Genomic DNA, 19,690 nt, shown 5'->3' with positions numbered 1-19,690 from the left:
TAGTCTCTGGAAAGAGTGAGGGACACAATTTCTCCCCACCATGATTTTGTTTTGTGATGCATTAACTCTCCTTCCCCTCAGTTATCAATGAACATATTTTAGATGAATGAGCAATTCCAAGAGAAGACATGTTCTTATTAGTTCTGAAGCATAAATTACATTTGCTTGCTCCAGAAAACACACAACTAGAAAGATGTTTAAACGAGAATGTGCTCAGTACTCTGTACAGCCAGGGACCAGAAATAATTTACAACTCATAAAGTTCCCTAAGTTGTCTGTGTCTATTTACTCAAATGGAGCACAAAGGACCACTGCATTTTCATCACCATGACAACTGCACATCAGAAGTTACTATACATGCTATCTACAGTACTTAAGAGAGAACATGCCCTTTTTTCAAGAAAGGTATCACACAAGTACAATCCTGCTAACAATGTTGTCTTTTCTTTGCAGTAGTTACCAACAAAATGTTATAGGAAGACAAGACTACATTCTTGCCAATGCAACAAGCCTTTTTTGAAAAGAGTCTTTTTCCTTGTGGGTGGGAATCTTGGTGTTACATTAAATGAAAAAGTAAGAAGGGAAAAACATCTGATGGGAACACGGGACACAAAAAAGATCAGCAAAAAAATAACAACCCTCATTTCAATACCACTCACAAAAATTTAGATTAATATGGTATACAACAAAGAAAGAATGAAAAGTTCCAGTATCAACCTGGCTATTCTAACTGTATGAAGAGGAAGTAGATTTATTGTTATAGTTACCTGGAGTGATACACCAAATATTCTAGTTGATGTTGGAACAAGTTGAACTATGCCAATATAGCTAAAATAACTAAAATCTACTCCAGAATTCTGAAGGTGTAACTGGGAGGTTACAATGATCAGACTCAGCAGATTCAAATGAATAAAAACAGAAAGGGAGCAGGAAAAACAGGATCATCTGGAAATGACAACCAGAGCCAATGATCTTTAGTAGGCCTGACTTCCAGCCCAGTACTCAACAATTGTCTGATGACCTGAACTCAGCAGGCAAGTTTGTTGTAGTAATTTGCTTGTGGAAATACACTTGGAGATTCAACCTAGTGCATAATAACTAGGGAACTAGGAGAGACTCACAGCATTTCTTGGAGGGCTCTATGTTTCCATCAAAAGTGAAAGCAGTCTGCAATACATAAACTTCCACAACTTCTGGGAAAGGCACGAGAGTATTTTTAACCTCCATTTTACCGCCAGGGAAAAAAGGATTAAGTAGGTCCACAATCAGGTGGATTGTAAATTAATACCACAATTAGCAATGTGAAAATGTGGCCTTCCTCCAGACAAAATCTATACTATGGTTCTCACTTTCATCTTTTATTTTACTTAATAGTAAAAAATTAATTCGATAATTTCACTCTCAAATCTGCATTTTAAAATATAGAAAGCAAGTCTGTGTCATTATACTTTCTAGTCTATACTTGGACTATTTTGTTACAAGGGATGGCTACTAGGGAAGTATTATCACATAAGGTAAGAAAGGTCAGAAAAGATTAATAAGCCAGACTTTTATCCCTTTACCCAAGACTACTTTTAAAAACAGAGCAATATTTCCTCAATTGGACTAAATTTTACAAAACAATAAAATGTGGGAGTCTCAAAATGACATTACTTCTTAAAGGCTCAGCAATGTGCACCAAATGGAAGGTAACAGAGGCCTAGGAGTGGAATCTCCATGTTGCCTGAGGAAAAATCAACTCTAAAATGGAGAGACATATCCCAGATGTTACATAAAAATACACCAATTTGAGTTTTCATAACACAGGGTTCTGTTTACTTGAATAACAATTTAAAATGATGATCACTCATGTCCTAAACTAAATTAATACTTTTTGAAGAGTGTGGAGGGAGTTCCATTCGGAAATTCATGCAAAATGAACTAGAGGTCTCCTGTGATAATCTCCTGTCACGGTTTATGGTTTATTTGTCAAAAATTAACATGCCTGGGGGGGTTATGTATTTTTTTAATAGCATGGAAACCAGATTCACGTGTCCTTGAGTCACCTATTTAATTATTAGATTCTCTCCATTTTTATAAATCTGCCAGGATTAAGATACCGTGATTTCTGTCATGTTTAAATGCACTCCATGAGATTTCCATTTTGCTTATTACTTATAATAATTAAATGCATTCTCCCCTTTATAGAGATATGTTTTAAAGACTATAGTAAACACTTGTTTATCAATTTTTATAGGATATTCTTTCCACTTGGAATAGTAGCACTATTATGAATTAATATTCACTGGGTAAACAGGCTTTCTGGGACCAGTACATTTTCTTACAGTACTAAATAAGCTGAAAAAAGAAAAGCTGGAGCTGGGGGTAAAAACAGTGTATGGGTCTCAATAAGTTCCCTGGAGATGATGTTTTTATCACTCTTGTATTGTCCCCATGGTGAGATACATAAAGGCATTTAACACATGATGGGAAACAACTAAACTATGAAAGAACAAACTTTTTTACATCAGATTTATAATGAAATCTTAATTACACAGAACTCTGAAAATGCCGCAACTTTTTTTTCTAGACTTAGTAACGTAAAATGCATGACATGCTGACAAACGGTCGTGAGGGCACTGCAAGTTTTGCTAGTTAGTCACATGTGTAAGAACAAGTATTTTTTTTTAACCTACCTATATGTCTTTATTAAGTCCTACTTTAATCCACTTTAGGATATAGTTAGGTCTCTGAGGAAAACTGAACAAATATCTAGGACATTCAGACCATAAACCGAGTTTATCCTGAATATTCAGAAACTTGGCTGAAGGTGCCATTTTGTTTTCTCGGTGTTTTTCCTGGGCAGAGGAGGACAAGCTATGCATGTGAGAGGGATGAAGGAGCCCAGGAAGGTGAAGGATTGCATCTGACAGGGCGAAGCAGACAAATTTCACATGCAGAACACAGAAGAGATGACTGTGCACACTCCTCTGACTTGGCTACGTCATAGCAGAAAATCCACAATGAACATGGTGTGACATGACATTGTGTGCCTGCTATCCTCTGAACAATGAAAACACTTCCTCTTGACTCAGTGGTCCCGTTATGAGACATCTATCTTTGACGGCTGGTGCCCAATTGCAAACATGATAGGAAGAGAAAGCAGAAAACATCCTATAGCCCATGCATGGCTTTTTCTCAATGGGATCACTAAATTGCTGCCTTGAAACTGTTAAAGCAGGTGTGTTAAAACAAAGCTTTGTGGCAGCCTAAGCTCTTTGGCCAGTGGGGCTTTGGAGAAGGCCTTACAGAATAATGAGCAGGACCTCACAAGGCATGGAGCAGGGGAGGGGGAGAAGCGGGGAGGGGGAGAAGCGGGGAGGGGGAGGGGGGAAGTGAGATGGGGGAAAAGTGGGGAGGGGGAGAAGGGGAAGTGGGGAGGGGCAGAAGGGGAAGTGGGGGGAAGGGGAAGTGGGGAGGGGGAGAAGTGGGGACGGGAAGAAGTGGGGAGGGGGAGAAGTGGGGAGAGGGAGAGGAAAATGGGATTCTCTCTATAAGACCTTATGCCTCCACTCACAAAAAGTCCTTACCTCCGTGCAAATGAAAAATGGGCTGAGGCACTGGGGGAGAAATTTCTTGGACTATCTTGAGGGCTATTTCCTAGAGAAAGAGAAAAGAGAGAAATTTACTACATGATTTTGTGTATCATTTCCACATCAATAATTCTCTCCTTAGAAATAAGTTTATTTACATTTCTGTAGAATGTCCTTTCCTCCAATAATGCTTTAGTTTTACCTGGACCAGGGATGGTGGGGTGGGCGGTGGGGAGGAGATGGGGATGGGGGAGCATGAGTTCCAGCACAGCTTTCTAAGTGTGCAAGACACATGAATAAACACTTTCAGCTATATCACCAACCAGGAGTCCTGCATGGAGATAACAATACAAATATTTCAATCTGATAGAGTAATGAATATATACAAGTCTTGGTTGTGACCCTCCAGATGCGAACATTTCAATGAGCAGGATGCATGGGTAAGCATATGCTTCAGTTGGAGGTGTTTTCCATTTTAGCAGGCAGCCTTAGTACTTTTTGTTTACAGTAGAATGAATAAGAGTCTGAGTTCCTGAAGATAAATCCTCATATTCTGAAGCACATATTTTAAAGGTGGATGTGTCAGAACTAGTTGTAAAACACTGGGAAGACCACAGCAGTTTGGACCTATTTCTCAATGACCCAGATCTATCTCAGCATTGCCAAGTGGCTCAGCAGGATTACCCGTTGTCAATATTTTCCTCAACAATCCCTCTGCTCCTAAGCAGCTGGACTGTGACTGGCCAGGCAGCCTCAAAAAGCCACAGCCACACAAAGGCTGGCAGAGCTCATCTTCCCCAGGCCTTCAGGGGTGGTGTGGGGCAGTGATTGCTCGTTGGAAGGAGGGCAGCTCCTCTGGGGCTTGTTACTTTCTCCATTAGCCCACTCAACCTGCTGCTGATCATTGAGAAAGCTTGGCCAGCAGCTGGCGAGGGCAAGTTCAGGACACTCCAGACCACCCTGCTTCCCTCTGCATGTTTAATTAGATTGGCGGAATTGTCTGAGGACCACATGGAACTGTAGCTGGTTTAAATAAGTGGGCAAGGAAAGGCTGCAAAGCAATCCTGTACCTTCTAGAAAAAGGAAAAAGGAAAAATAAATCAGGAAGCTATGTTTAATCCCTAAGGGCAAGCCAATTGCCACATTACTGGTTTCTTAATGAAAGTGACTATTGTAATTGGGTGTAAGGAAGACAAGATTTTATGTCAAAGTCAGTACATGGCTGTAAAGGTAGAAACAATTTATTACCAGTGTGCAGAAAGAATAGACTAACACATTAAGGAGGATAAGTTTAGTGTTACCTTGAGGACTTTTGGACTGGCTATATCTCTACCGAAATTTCTCAATTAACTGAAGGTTGCAAATTTTATAGTGATGTCTTCAACAAATGACATTAACTTTAAGACAGACAGCACAATCACAGCCATTTAACTGGGAAGCGCTGAGAAGCCCATTTCTTTATGGATAGAGAATCATGAAGCATTTTTCCCCCTGCTGCAATGAAATTTATCATGGCTTTGCATCTGTTATTCCTTGGGCCCCTGGAGAAATGAATTCTGCTTTTGCCATCCAGTAATCCAGGATTCATTTTGTCCATTTATCTACACACAGCTAAATTAAGTTCTTTCAACTTCTCTCAATAGCCTTCATCCCCTCTCCCAACACCCCTAATTTAGCTTGTATACTTCTCCTCATATTCCTTTAAAAATCTCAAATTTCAAGATGGCTAAAAATTTTGTTTCCTAAAGGAAATAATCTAATGCCAGAAATATTCATATAAATTTTGTTTTTCATTTGGGAAAAGTGTTCAATTTGCTCACACACCATAAAGAGCAAACTACCAGTAAATAATTAGGCGTAACACAATAACTGATTATCTGAAGCCAAGACATTCTAAGAACAATCCCTGCTACACTTATTCACTCAAAATGAAATCATAAGGCCAATGAAACCTGGCACCGAATTCTTAGCCCTGTGTTCTTTGTAAAGAAAACACTATACCTGGAGATTACAACGTGATCAACTAGAACAATACAGAGAGCTTATTAATATATATTTTTTAATCTGAAGAAAGAAGAAACAAAGAATTGACTTAAAACCCTTTTCACTTTTAGGGATATTAGTGAATGGTCCCCATGCTGACCCTTCATCTTCAGGATGAATGGGCAGAGATATAGATAAAGAGGTGAATTTAACTCTGCTCTAAAAAATAAAAAAATAATAAAAATAAAACAAGGCTGCCACTAACCATTTCCCATATTCAGATTTTGCCTTCGCATCTTAGGCTGCCTTTCTAGGTCCATTGCTTGAACATTTTCCTCATTTTCTTCTCATCTACTACACTGCTGTAAAACCTAACTTAAATTCCCACATCTTCAACTTCAAGACTATAGAGGTGTTAGTTCTATCTTACTAATCGCAGATGTTTCTGCTTCATGTCAGACCAAAAAGCTAAATTAAAATGCAAATATATATATACGTATACACACATATACATACACATATGAATTATCATTAAGGCTCTTAACTGTCAGAGGATATTAGAGAAAATGAGTGAGAGTGATGTGGGCTAGAGCAACTGATAATTCCTTAAGGACAAGGGACTCTAGCTCAATTTCAGGGCAGTTTAGCAGGTTTTAGGTAAGAGGAGAAACAGAAGGTGACTTCAGGAAGGAGTCAGAAACAACCCAAACACAGTAGGGCAAGGCAATCGAGACAGTTTCTCTGACTGAAGGGAATTCAGACTGGGAAAGCCAATGAGCTGTGTTTATTGGTACTGATTAGTTAGAGGCTTTAAGAAATACTTGGAGGCAAGAGAGAGATGCTGGAGGTTCTAAGCTGGCCTGAGTGTAATTGGTATGGGTGGCCAGGGGAGTAGCAGAGGAGGAGGGACCTAGACCAGGACATGGAAGGTCAAGAGAAAGGATATTCTGGTGGGCAAACCAAGCATAGTCGTTAGCAGATTAGAAACGAGTGAAAAAGGATACAGGCTAAAAAAGTGACTGATGTTTCCAATGTGGGTAGATTGGGAAAATGACTGACCCTCTAATAGGAAATTTTGGGAGAGAAATGGAGTCGTGGTGGTAACAGAAGAAAAGGGTCAATGAGCATTCTATAGACTTCTGTGTTACTTATTACAGAAATTCCTCCATTTTCCTTAGGGAGGAATTATAAGACTAGCAGATTAGGCAGGTAGAAGTCAATCTCTGAAGTCTTTGTTCTTATTTGAAATAAAAATTGACTCCTACTCAGTCTCTGAAGACTTAGCAATACTATTTTGTTATACAGTGATCAAAATACTGCTAATTTAGAACAGGCCAAATTATAAAGCACATGTTATATGTTCTAAACTCAGCGATGAGGACTTGACTGCTGTGCACATGCACAGTGCTTCCCCAGGATGAGAGTAAGAAGGAGTGAAACCCGAGTCTTATACATGACCTTCACTCCTCATAGCACTGCTCTCTGAATTCATCCACCCATCTGCAAAGCAATACCTGAGAGACTCCCAAATGAAAACTGGTGCCAGTTAATTCTCTGCCCATATGTGCAGCACTTGCTTATAACTAAAATCCTGCTGCTCCCAGGGATTTGCTGGCTCTTGGATGTTTGAGTGCTAGGACACTTTATAGACTGCTGGTATCGCTGCTGATGTTTCTGACCTGGTAAAGTAAACCTTAGTAGTGGTCAGGCATTAGGTAGGTAATTAACTCCATGATCCCCCTGGGGAACTAGCATGGCTAATACATAAACAGTGTAGGAAAAACATACTTTACCTAACGGCACTACACAGGGTGCCTCATTTTAGCAGCAGCTATTGTTAAGAAAGTGATTTCCAGATTAATTAAATTGTTTGATTGCTTTGTAATTAGATTGGAGAAGTCCTGTGTCTTTGCCACATAGAAGCAAGCTGCAAATCTTTTTAAAAGGCATATGCTATGCCCTCTATAGATTATTAATGTGCTTTTAATAGCTGTCTGTTTGTGAAATGATAGTTTCTGATAGCTTGAATTTCTATCAGGACTGGAGGAATCCAAGAATTAATGATAATTGCTATTTAAACTCCTGGTGGATCAAAGAGTAAGCCCCCATTTGAATCTTTGTTGTCATTACTTGATGATCCCCTTAAATGAGTTGTGACATTTGCACCATAACAATCAGTGCTGTGTTTCTTACTGCTTTGTTGGAGATTCCTGGCAAATGGACACTGCTTAAAAACCCTGAAACCAAACTTCACAGAATCAAACCTAGGATCTCCTTGTATGATGAATACCAACAGATAAAGTGGGCACTGGAACACGATGCAGGAACCTCAACCTGAGTGAACTCTAAAATAACAGTTCCGTTCCCCCTGAGAACTTTGAGTCTATCTCACCAGACCCAGACAGGTGACTCATGAAGAGAGCTAGGAATCTCCCTTTCATTTAGACACCTGTCTCAAACTGGCTCCTCTCCAGATATAATTGTAGACTATTAATTAAACCTGGGCAGCTGTTTCGACTCTAAGTGGCCAAGAAAAAAACCTTGATTGGCCGTCAGTGGAATTCTCTGGGTAAGTTGTCAAGTGTTCACAGGCAGGCCAATCAATAGAAGTAGACTCATATGCTTAAGTTTCAAGTAAAGACAGAATTATACACAATGAATCAAGGCTTTCTTATAATCTGGGCTCCCTGAATCTTTGGTTTTTCCTGTCCCTGTCTTATTGACCCTTCCATAGCTATAGCACCATTACTCACTGCTTGACTGATTGAGCCAACAAATATTTACTAATCATCTACTCTATAGAGAGGGATAACATGATTTTATTTACGTTTTAGAAAGAGCCTTCTAGCTGTTCTGTGGCCAGTGGGCTTTAAGCAGGCAAGAGTGGAAGCAGGGGGATGAGTTAGGAGGCTACCAGCACAGACAAGGTAAGAGAGATGGTGATTTAGATAGGGTGATTGAAGAGCTGTTATGTTTTGGCAGCGGAGCCAACGGGATTTGCTGAAAAATGGAACTGAGTGGAATAAAGGGGAAAAGAACACAAAGAAGACTTCAAGATTTTAGAAGCAAATGGGTATATGGTGGCATTAATTGAGATGGAGAAGACTGAGGGAGAATATGGTTCATCAGTGTGAGAGAGAATTAAGGGCAAAACTTGAACACCTGGGCAAGCTTTAGTCGTTTTTACTTATGGAAGCTCCACATAAAATAATTTCAAATATATTAAATGTGCTCATAGTCCACGATTATGCAATTATATGTAACGATGTTACATTTAATTGCAGTTCTCATATGTAACATTTAGACTACCTAAACATTTAAGAATCCCGTTACAATTTTCTTATTGTACATTAGAGCAAATAACATTTTTAAATCTCATATTATTTAGTGCATAATGAATTTCATGGCCCTAATCTATTTCAGACATTCAAACCAGTCAACAATGCTAAGTAAAATATTTGTAGAGAAGGAAAATTCTACAGGCTAGATATTAAAGTTTGGATAATGATCATTTTAATCATTCTGTCTCCTGTCCCGATAAGTAAAACTAAATGGAGTATAACAATAGGCAGACAATATTCCATTTCTCTCTTTCTCTAAATAATTTATAACTGTAAGTGATGGTAAGGGATAAACTCCAGTTATATATCTAGATACACAAAAAGTGTACTTTGAGTTCTCAGTGTCTAATCTCATCCCTGTTATACAGCAAACTGAAAATAGTTTTTTTCTACTTTAATAATTATTAAGTTCTTGTTATGCACAGGGCTTTGAGCTATCTGCTAGAACAGATTATAGGTGAACACAATGTAAAGAGCTAAACATCTACTGATAGATACAGATGTGTATATCCAACTCCAAACTCACTTCATGAAATCAATTCTGGATCCTTATCCATGTGACAAAGAAACTTTCTTAAATCAAAGCTCTTAAACATACTTACTTTTTAAGAAAACCCTGCCAGTGACAACAGTATACAGAAAATGTACTGTTTCACAATAGACTGTTGATAAACGGACATGTAATGTTTTCTAAGGAATGACTGATGAGGTTATAGAAAGAAAAACATGTAGGGCGTGGAAGAGAGACCCAATAAGAGGTCAATTTCTTGTCATAAGACTTGCACAGATACCTATTGTCTCCATTTCATGAAGCTGTTTCTCTGGAACTTGTGTACTGTATTTGAAATGCTGTGGCATTGACAGGAATCCCTTGGAGATGTGTTAAAATGGGTTCTTGAGAATGTTTTAGCTTTTCACTGACCCTTCCTTATTACTCTGAATTGATGTCACATCTCAAGGTGATCCCAAGTAAAGACTGGTGAATGTCAAGAGTGATGAAGAAAGTTGATTTTAAGTTGCATGTTTTCCTCCCATCTACAGTAATTCACCTTCCTAGCAACAGAGAAGAGATTACTTTTACCCCTTGTTTAAAGTTACTGAGTAGCATTTGTAAGGTCAAGGAAGGGAGGTAAGAACATAGCCACTGTAACAGATATTCCTAAGCATCATGCAATTTCATGAAACTTGATTCATTCTATTAATCTTACATAATTAATTATAGACTGAATCTGGATAAAACTCTGAGTTAAAGAATGTAACCTAATGCATTCGTATTTTTTTTTCTATCTTACATGAAGGGATTTAATTCCTTAACATAATTAGATACAAAGAATTCCCCCTTTTTCCTAGAAGAAGGGTGGATATTATCAGGAAATGGGTTTTTCTCAGACTGTTTGTTTCAATTGCTGAGTAATTTCTAGTCAAAGAGAAAGTATTTAAATGAAACACATATCCATATAACTTTCTAAATGCCATCTAAAGGTATTCTCTATTATAAATCTCTTTCTTTTGGCTCTTAGTTAAAAAATAAATGCTAAATTTAATGTGGCCCCATTTAACAAATGCTAAACATTTTGTTTGCCTCTGGTAGACATGAATTCCATCTGGAAGAAGCAAAATATGTGCAAAGGTGTTTTCCTTTTCCTTTTAAGTTAATCATTTTTCAATTTCTAGCTTCAGAAGTGTGTTCAGATTTAAAGGATCAAAGGCATTTAACCCTGTTGCTTCATAATAAAATAATACGTGATGTGCCAAGAATCTATCAAATCAGAATTCTGACTTTTCAGTTCCCACAAACCACACAGGAAATCTTGGAAACTCTTGGCCTGTAGATATTTATTCCTCTAATATTTTTCTCACACTCATTTCCTCCATTTCCTTAGATCAATAAACAGGTGTCAATGGGAACTGCATATCAGAATCACCTTTGAAGCTTTAAAAATGCTAACACCCAGGCCCTATCCCAACCTCCCTTTTTGGTGACTTTTTATTTTAATATTTCAAATTTAGAGGAAAGTTGTAAGAATAGTACAGAGAGCTTCTGCTCTCTTTACTCAGATTCACCTGTTTAACATTTACAATTACTTTATTACTATTTCTCTCCATATTTTTAAATTTGGATTTTAATACTATTTAAATAAGTCAGAAACATGGTCTTATAACTCTAAATTTTTGTATATATGCCATATGACCAAGGACATTCTCTTACATGCCCACAGTCTGATTTTCAAAATTAGGAAATACAATATTGATACAATGTTATTATCTAATCTGCACTCCATATTTACATTTAATCTCACCAATTGTCCAAATAATGTCCTTTAGAGCTATTCTCTTCTCTTGATTTAGTATCTGATCCAGCATCTCACATTGCATTTAGTTGCTGTGTCTCTCTGGTTTCATTCAGTCTGAAACAGTTCCTCAGTTGTACCTCTGCCTTAATGCCCTTGACACTTTTAAAGACTGCAGGTAGGCTGGCCACGGTGGCTCACGCCTGCAATCCCAGCACTTTGGGAGGCCAAAGTGGGTGGATCACGAGGTCAAGAGATGGAGACCATCCTGGCCAACATGGTGAAACCCCAACAAAAATTAGCTGGGCGTGGTGGCGTGTGCCTGTAGTCCCAGCTACTCAGGAGGCTGAGGCAGAAGAATCGCTTGCACCCCGGGGGCAGAAGTTGCAGTGAGCTGAGATCGCGCCACTGCACTCCAGCCTGACGACAGAGTGAGACTCCGTCTCAAAAAAAAAAAAAAAAAAAAGATTACAGGTAGTTGTTTTGCAGAATGTCCCTCAATTTGGGTTGCATAGTATTTCCTTATAACTAGATTCAGGTTATGAAATTTGTGGGGGAGCAATATCATGTAAGTGATGAAGTATCTTTCTCAGTGTAACATATCCAGAGGTACATGAGATTGATTTTATCCTGTTATTGATAACTTTGGTCACGTGGCTAAGGTGGTGTCCACCAGTTCCTCACTGTCAAGTTATTATTTTTCCCTTTGTGATTAATCCCAGGCACTTTCTGAAACACATTTAAAATGTCATTACAAGTAATAGAAAAATTGCCATCTTATTTACACAACATTAGCTTTCCATATAATGTCTGGGGCATAGAAATTTTATTTTCACAAAAGTATGCTTTATCACACTAGAATATTTAAAAATAAAATACTATATATGTCAACATTTGAAAAAAATTATTTTTATAGTTTTGGAGGTGCAAGTGCAGTTGTCTTACAGAGATATATTACATAGTGGTGAAGTTGGCCCACCCCATTTAAATGAGATAATTCTAATGTGCAGCCAGGGTTGAGAACCATAGCCTTAGAATTTCTTGTATACTGTAAATCATGTTCTAAGCTTCCACTTGTCCCTGAGAGCTCTGAACCAGGAAGTCTTAATATTTTTTTTTCACTTCCCTATTTTCTCCCATAATTCAGCATCTCTTCTTCCTTGTCTCAATCATACTAGTTCGATGCCTGTTTTACATTCACCTCACTTTGACCTCTAAGTATTCTCAAAACAGCATTAAGACCTGAAATTCCTTCCCTTTCAAACCAAACAAATAGTATATCATACCATGTCAATTATCCAGAAGTCCCAAATGCCCACAGGTATCCTCCTGGGTTAAGCACGTACATAACCTCCCCCACCCCAAATCCTATTGCTACTCTTACCCAATTATATGCACAGTTTTCCCTTCCCTCTAAAATAGGAACCTCTCCCCACATGCTAAGCTTCTATTGCTCCTGTGTTCCTGGGTTAAGATTTAAAACCTCTGTTAAAAAAAAATATATAATATATACAATTATATATTATATAATATATACAATTATATATTATATTATATAATATATACAATTATATATTATATTATATAATATATACAATTATATATTATATTATATAATATATACAATTATATATATTATATAATATATACAATTATATATTATATTATATAATATATATAATTAAAGAAAACATTAATTAACCATAATGTTTACATTTTCACTATCAACTTTACTCATGTTTGTTCAAACCAGTTTTCATTTTAATCATATCTAACAAACATGAATATTTGACTTAAAATCTGTGCATCTCATGCTTGCTTTCATTTTTTTTGAGGCAGAATGCCTATTATACGGTCCATGTAATATTATAATATTTAAAATTATTAGGACAGTTAAAATCAAGGCACGGGATCTAGATTCAACAACTGATTATCAGAAGCAAAACTAAGAGTATTCACTCTAATTCTTATCATTCCTTCTTGCATAAAACATAATTTGCCTTTATACATAATAGGAACATGGCCTTTCCGGTCCTTTCATTTATGTTCTGTACATGCATCCATGATATCTTTAGTAGACAATCTGAAAATAATTGATAAGTGTGATTAGTGGAGCTTGTTTTAAGCCACACACAACTCTTGAGATTCTGTATGCACAAATGTCAACCTTCAGAGAATCACTACCTTACACAGCCACAGTTACTATTGCAAGGTGTTGAATCCTTCAGGTATTCTGGGACGAACTGAGATGGGAGAAAAAAAGTTGTGATTATTCTCTTAAAGAACATGACAGGGTCTTTAAATCCCTCTTTGAATGAAAAAGTAGGTACATAAAAGGCACATATTTAAAATTTTTAAATCATTTGGAAAGCACTTATGCAGAGTTAATATATGCTGGACACTTTGCTAGGGCCAGAAAGTCAAAGACAAATGATACCCGGGGCTTCCTTCAAGTGATCTTGGCAGTGACAATGGATGCAATGGAATGCTAACCTTTCTGAAGGCTGTGTTTAATGAAGCCAAAGCTTCGTATTCTGAGAATACTCAAGGGGTTAGAAATGGTGAATTATTTTGTACGTCAGGTCAGGTGTGACGACTCTAAGGCAGACTAGCGCTAAGAAGCTGGACAGTAAAGTACTGCCACTTTTCCCTCCCCTTTTGCAGACCCCTGGTAGCCTTTGCAGAAAGAAGGCTGAATCAGACCATCCCTGACCACAAGCCTCTAACCCATGAGGCAAGGAAGAGAGACCCAGCATGTGGAACTTTGTGTTCATGGTGGTAAGGATAAATTAAGGAAGATGTGAATTCAGAGAAAATAATGGATAGCTTTGCAGGGGCAACCTTCGATCTGCATCTAGAAGGAAAAGTGAAAGGAAAGGAGGCTTTGAGGCAGAGGAAAATGAAGGGACAGAGTCCCAAAAATGAACTGCACATTTTTACATGTTTTAATTTTTATTACAAGAGCAATGATATATACATGGAAAAAAATTCAAATGATTCAAGTAGACATACGATAAAGCCAAAAAACCTCTCTCAACCTCTGACTGTTATTCACTGGTTCATTCAAACACTTGTGTCAGGCTCTGTACCAGACTTTGCGTCCCCACCTCCACCTCCCCATGCCCAGTCCTACAATTCAGAAGTGACCTCTTTTGATAGGGTATGTACCTATCTAGAAATATGTGTATATTCACAAGCATATGTGTATAAAAAAATTCCTCCCAAAATACTACATCAAATATAATGCTCTATTATTTATATAAAGTTCTATATTTGCTATTTTTTAATTATCTATAACTTTCTGTGTTAGCCCATCTAAATCTCTATTATCACCTTTCAGCACCAAATATCCCAATATTTCAGTTAGCATCATTTACTTAGTATTTTATGAATGAATATTTATACTAATTTTAGTGTTTTGAAGATTCAATGAATATCTTCTAAATATTTACGTACTTCCAAGAGCTAAATTCCTATGAGCAAAACTTTGGGTACAGTTGAGTACAGTGCACTTTTCACTTTGGTCCTTCTCGCTAAATTGCTCTCCAAAGACACTGCACTGATATTTTCACTAGTGACATATAGGATGCTGTCTACCTTCCACCTTGCCAATACTAAATTTTTTCAGATTTTGGTAATTTGACAGATAACATCAGATTGCCATATATATATATATATATATATATATATATATATATATATTTATATAAAAATATATAAATATATAAATATATTTATATAAATATATATTTATATAAATATATAAATATATTTAAATATATAAATATAAATATAAAAATATAAATATAAATAAATATATTTAGATAAATATAAATAAATATATATATTTAGATAAATATAAATAAATATATATTTAGATAAATATAAATATAATATAAATAAATATTATATATAAATATATAAATATAAATAAATATAATATAAATATAAAATAAATATATATAAAGATATAAATATAAATATAAATATATAAATATATATTTCCAGCTTTATTGACTTGACAAAAATTGTACATATTTAAGGTGTACAATATAATGTTTTGCTATACAATTATAAAATGATTACCACAATCAAGCTAATTAACATAGCCATCACCTCATATAACGTTTCATGTTTCTTCAGATGATTATGAGTGAAGCTGAGCATCTTTTAATGTTAACTGACGATTTGTGTTTCTTTTTGTACAAACTACCCAGAGTTTGTACTTCATTCCACTGAGTTCTTCTGTTAGTCTTTTATTGTTACTTTTTTTTTTTTTTCACATCAAGGCAACCCTGTCAATATATTGAAGACTGGTTTTCTCATCTGTGTTTATCTTTTAATGTTACTTATGGTAACTTTTCTGTGGAAAAGTTTTTATCTAATCAAATTTGTCAACCACTTTCCTTTATGGCTTTTAGGTGTTTTATCTGTTTGGAAAGGCCTTCTTCAATCCCAAATTATTTTCCAAATGTATCCACATTTTTTTCTAGTTATTTATTTATTTATTTTTGAGAGAAGAGTTTTGCCCTCGTTGCCCAGGCTGGAGTGCAATGGCGCGATCTTGGCTCACTGTAACCTCTGCCTCCCAGGTTCAAGCGATTCTCCTGCCTCAGCCTCCCTAGTAGCTGGGAATACAGGCGCCTACCTCCACGCCCAGCTATTTTGTTGTATTTAGTAGAGAGGGGGTTTCACCATGTTGGTCAGGCTGGTCTCAAACTCCTGACCTCAGGTGATCCACCCATCTCGGCCTCCCAAAGTGCTGGGATTATAGGCATGAGCCACTGCACCTGTCCTTTTCCTAGTACTTTTATGGTTTAATTCATTTTTTAAAATCTATATGGGGCTTATTTCTTATAAGGAGCAAGATAGCAGTCTGGCTTACCGCTTTTCCAAATGGCTAATCAATTGATTCAGGACAATTTATTGGCTTGAATAACCTACACTTCCTTCCAGTGATTTAAGCAAGACACACTTAAGTAAAGTGAAGTAATCTGATGTTATGGACGGGGAGTTGTAGGAAATTAAGGCAGAGCAGTGAATGGTGAGGAGCAAAGTGGATGGATGAAAGCGTAACTACAACAGTCAGGGGCCAGCTGGCAATACTCTTTAGGGCAGTACTCCAGGTGATTCGTCACCTGAGTGGGGCCCTTACTTTTATCAAGTACTCCAGGCGCTTCTTAGGCACAATAGTGTTTCTGAATCCTAGCTTTAGAACAGTGATCTTAACCTTGGCTTCACATTAAAATAGCCTAGGGAACTTAAAAAACCCCAAAGCCCAAGCCACACTGCAAACCAATTAAATCAGAATGGGGAGGGAGGTGGAGGGCAATCATCAGTCATTTTTAAAGCTTCCCAGGTGACTCCAGTGTGCATTCAAGTTTCAGAAACACTACTTTAGATTCTGCTGGAAAAAAAAAAGTGAATTTTACAGTTTAAGTTGTTCTCTACCATTACTCTGTATCAAAATCTCTGGGGAGCTTTTAAAAAGATATAGGCCAGACCAGGCCAGACACCTTAAGTTTCTGACTTAATTGGCCTTGGGTCTGGGTATGTCTTTAAGTTCCACATGTGACTCAAATGCACAGCCAGGCTTTAGAACCTACAGGGCAGTTAATTCTCCAACTGTAGAGTGTATCAGAATCACCTTGAAAATGTGTTAGACCACAGAGTGCTGGGCACCACCCCTCACAGTTACTTACTTAGTAGATCTGGGTTGGAGCCTCAGAGTTTGTATTGCTAACTAGTCTGTGGCGGTGGCGATGGATGCTGCTGCTCATCTGGGAATCACTTTAATAACCACTATACTCCCGTATGTCATGATGAACCATGAAATGTTTTACATTAGGTAAAAGACATAATTAAGTTCATGTCTTTCAAAAAAATGAGCTTCGATGTCTGAGAGAGATTTGATGGAGGTGGAGCCCAGGAAGTGCCAAAGCAGGCTCCCAGTTCTCTGTCACTGAAACATCCTGGAACCAGTGGCTGTGGCACTGGGGAGGGGGGTCAGGTATAAAACACTTTTCAGAGGGAAAGTGGGAGAGAGGGTGTAACAAAAAATGATACTGAGATTTCTAGTTTGAGTGACAAGGTGGATGATGTTGCTAATAACAGAGAGAATAAACAGAAATTGGAGAAAATAAATTTGTTATTGGGTAACAGCTGGATTTGAGGTGCTGGTAGGACACAATCAGATGGAGAGACTATTAGTAAACAGACACATGCATCTGTGTTCAGGAGAAAGGTTCAGACCCAAGAGAAAGCTGTGGGAAAAACTGGCACACGCATGAAAGAGAGGACCTTGGTAAAAGAGTTTATGCCACAATTAAGTGTGACAGAGAATGTGATCCAAGGGATTCCAATAGTTAAAATGGCACAAGAAGCAAAAGGAGCCAACAAGAACAGAAATACAGAAGCAAGCACCACAGGAAGCAAGAGAAGACAACTACTCAAGAAATTGGAAATGGTTCCTGGTATCAAATCCTGCAGGGTGCTCATGCTCAATTTTTTTTTTCTTTCCCAGAAAGAGGTCATTGGATTAGATTAGGCCACTGGGCAATCAAGGTGCATCTCCCACAGTGGAGCAGTAGAGTGGGATGGTGTCAGGCCTGAGTACATCACCAATTAATCATGGGCAATGTTACACCTGGACTAGTTTCCCAGGACTACTACAATAGGAATTCCTGGCTCTGTTTTACCAAGACATGTAATAAAGATAATAAATAACAAGATCTACATTTGGTTATTAATTAAATTATAATTTCAAAAATAAAAAAACTTCAAATGTTATAATAGCTAATCATTTCATAGTATGATTTTAAAAACTTAAAAATGTGCTAGCAAGTGGAACAATGTGTGAGATAATGCCTAAGGGAGTGCTTAGCTTTTATATTTTATGACATATAGTTACAGCAAAACAAAATTTTGACCTTTCCCCTATAGGCTAGCAGATTTATCATTTTGGAATCCTAATGGAGAACAATGTTTCTTAGGCCATTTTTAATTTACTTTTTTTTTCTAAAAGATAAAGATGACAAACTTCTGCTAAATAGTTTTGTAATATTTTACATTAATTAACTCAACTCCTCACCAATCACATTTTTATTCAGCAATGCATGTCATAAAAAAAACACTCCAAAGCCAGGTGTGGTGGCTCATGCCTGTAATCTCAGCACTTTGGGAGGCTGAGGTCAGTGGATCACTTGAGCCCAGGAGGTTCAAGACCAGCCTGGGTAACATGGAGAAACCCTGTCTCTACAAAAAAATACAAAAAGTTAGCCAGGCATGGTGGTACACGCCTGTAGTTCTCAGTTACTAAGGAGGCTGAGGTGGGAGGATCACCTGAGCCTGAGGAGTTCAAAGCTGCAGGGAGCCACGATCATGCCATTGCACTCCAGCTTAGATGACAGAGCAAAACTCTCTCTAAAAAGGAACGAAAAAAAAAAAAAAAAACTCATTCCAATCTTCATTCAGATCATACACTAACCTCCAGCAGACATATACATTTCTAGGTGGATGTTAGGTAAAAGATAGTAGCATATGCCCAGCACTACCATGGGGCTGACTAAGGACAAATTAGACTGAGGGGATAACTTTAGTACTGCTACTAATGTTGGAAAACGCTACACATAAAACTGTTTAACTGTTTTAGACTGAGGCAGATGGTGAGGGTGAAAGCAATATGCACATGAATTTTTCTGGTGAAACGTTTAAAATCCATAGGAAAAGAACTGCTCACCTTTAAAATAACTTTTTAAAATCTGACTCTAACAGATGATCATGGCAGAGGATCTGCAAAATACATTAAAGTATAAAAATGAAATCGATAATCCTAATGTAATATTGTAGTGTCTTTATTTTTTGACAGTGTATACACGTATATACAAATATACTTTCAAATTAGATCATAAACCATACTGTTTTGTGTCCTGCTCTTTATAATTAGGTTATAATTACAATCTTCCTATGCTATTAGATATTTTTCAAAAATGTGATTTTTAAATGGCTACAAATTATTCCATTATACAGATGGACTACAATTTAACCATCAATCTTCTTAGTATTTAATGTTTAGGGTGTTTCCAATTCTGTACTACTACAAATTAATGCTGCAATTAACATCCTAAAATATACATTTGAGTACTTTTCTGATTATTTCCTTAAATTATATTTCATAAAATGCAAATAATAGTTCAAGTCATGTGAACTATTTTTAGGGCTCTTGACATAAAGTATCAAGCTGCTCGCTAAAACCATTGTAAATTTACATTAATGTAGTGAAAATATCCATTTCAATATACCATCATCAGAAATGAATATTACCATGTTTGCTGTTTAATATTTGCAAATCAAGTGGAAACTGATGTCTCATCATTTTGATGTACATTTATTTGATTAATAAGAGGTTGAACTTTTCATCTGTTTATCTGTCATTTCTATTTCTTTTCTGAGATGTCCGTTCATGTCCTTTGCCTATTTATTTAGGGGGTAGTATTTTCATACG

At 36.9% G+C, this 19,690-nt stretch overlaps 1 protein-coding gene across 28 annotated transcripts in view; it reads right to left on the bottom strand.

The window, feature by feature from the left end:
- Positions 1-19,690, bottom strand: part of MAST4 (microtubule associated serine/threonine kinase family member 4) — a 573,201-nt gene that overhangs the window by 75,793 nt on the left and 477,718 nt on the right. For all 28 annotated transcript variants that reach the window (XM_024446044.2, XM_047417157.1, XM_047417158.1 and 25 more), the window contains one exon: positions 3,570-3,639. In XM_024446044.2, coding sequence (XP_024301812.1) covers positions 3,570-3,639 — 70 coding nt within the window. The remainder of the gene's footprint in view (positions 1-3,569; positions 3,640-19,690) is intronic.

The sequence above is a fragment of the Homo sapiens genome, chromosome 5 (assembly GCF_000001405.40).
Source record: "Homo sapiens chromosome 5, GRCh38.p14 Primary Assembly".
Taxonomy (NCBI): Eukaryota; Metazoa; Chordata; class Mammalia; order Primates; family Hominidae; genus Homo; species Homo sapiens.
The sequence above is the reverse complement of the archived record's forward strand: the minus strand, read 5'-3'. Positions and strand labels throughout refer to the sequence as shown.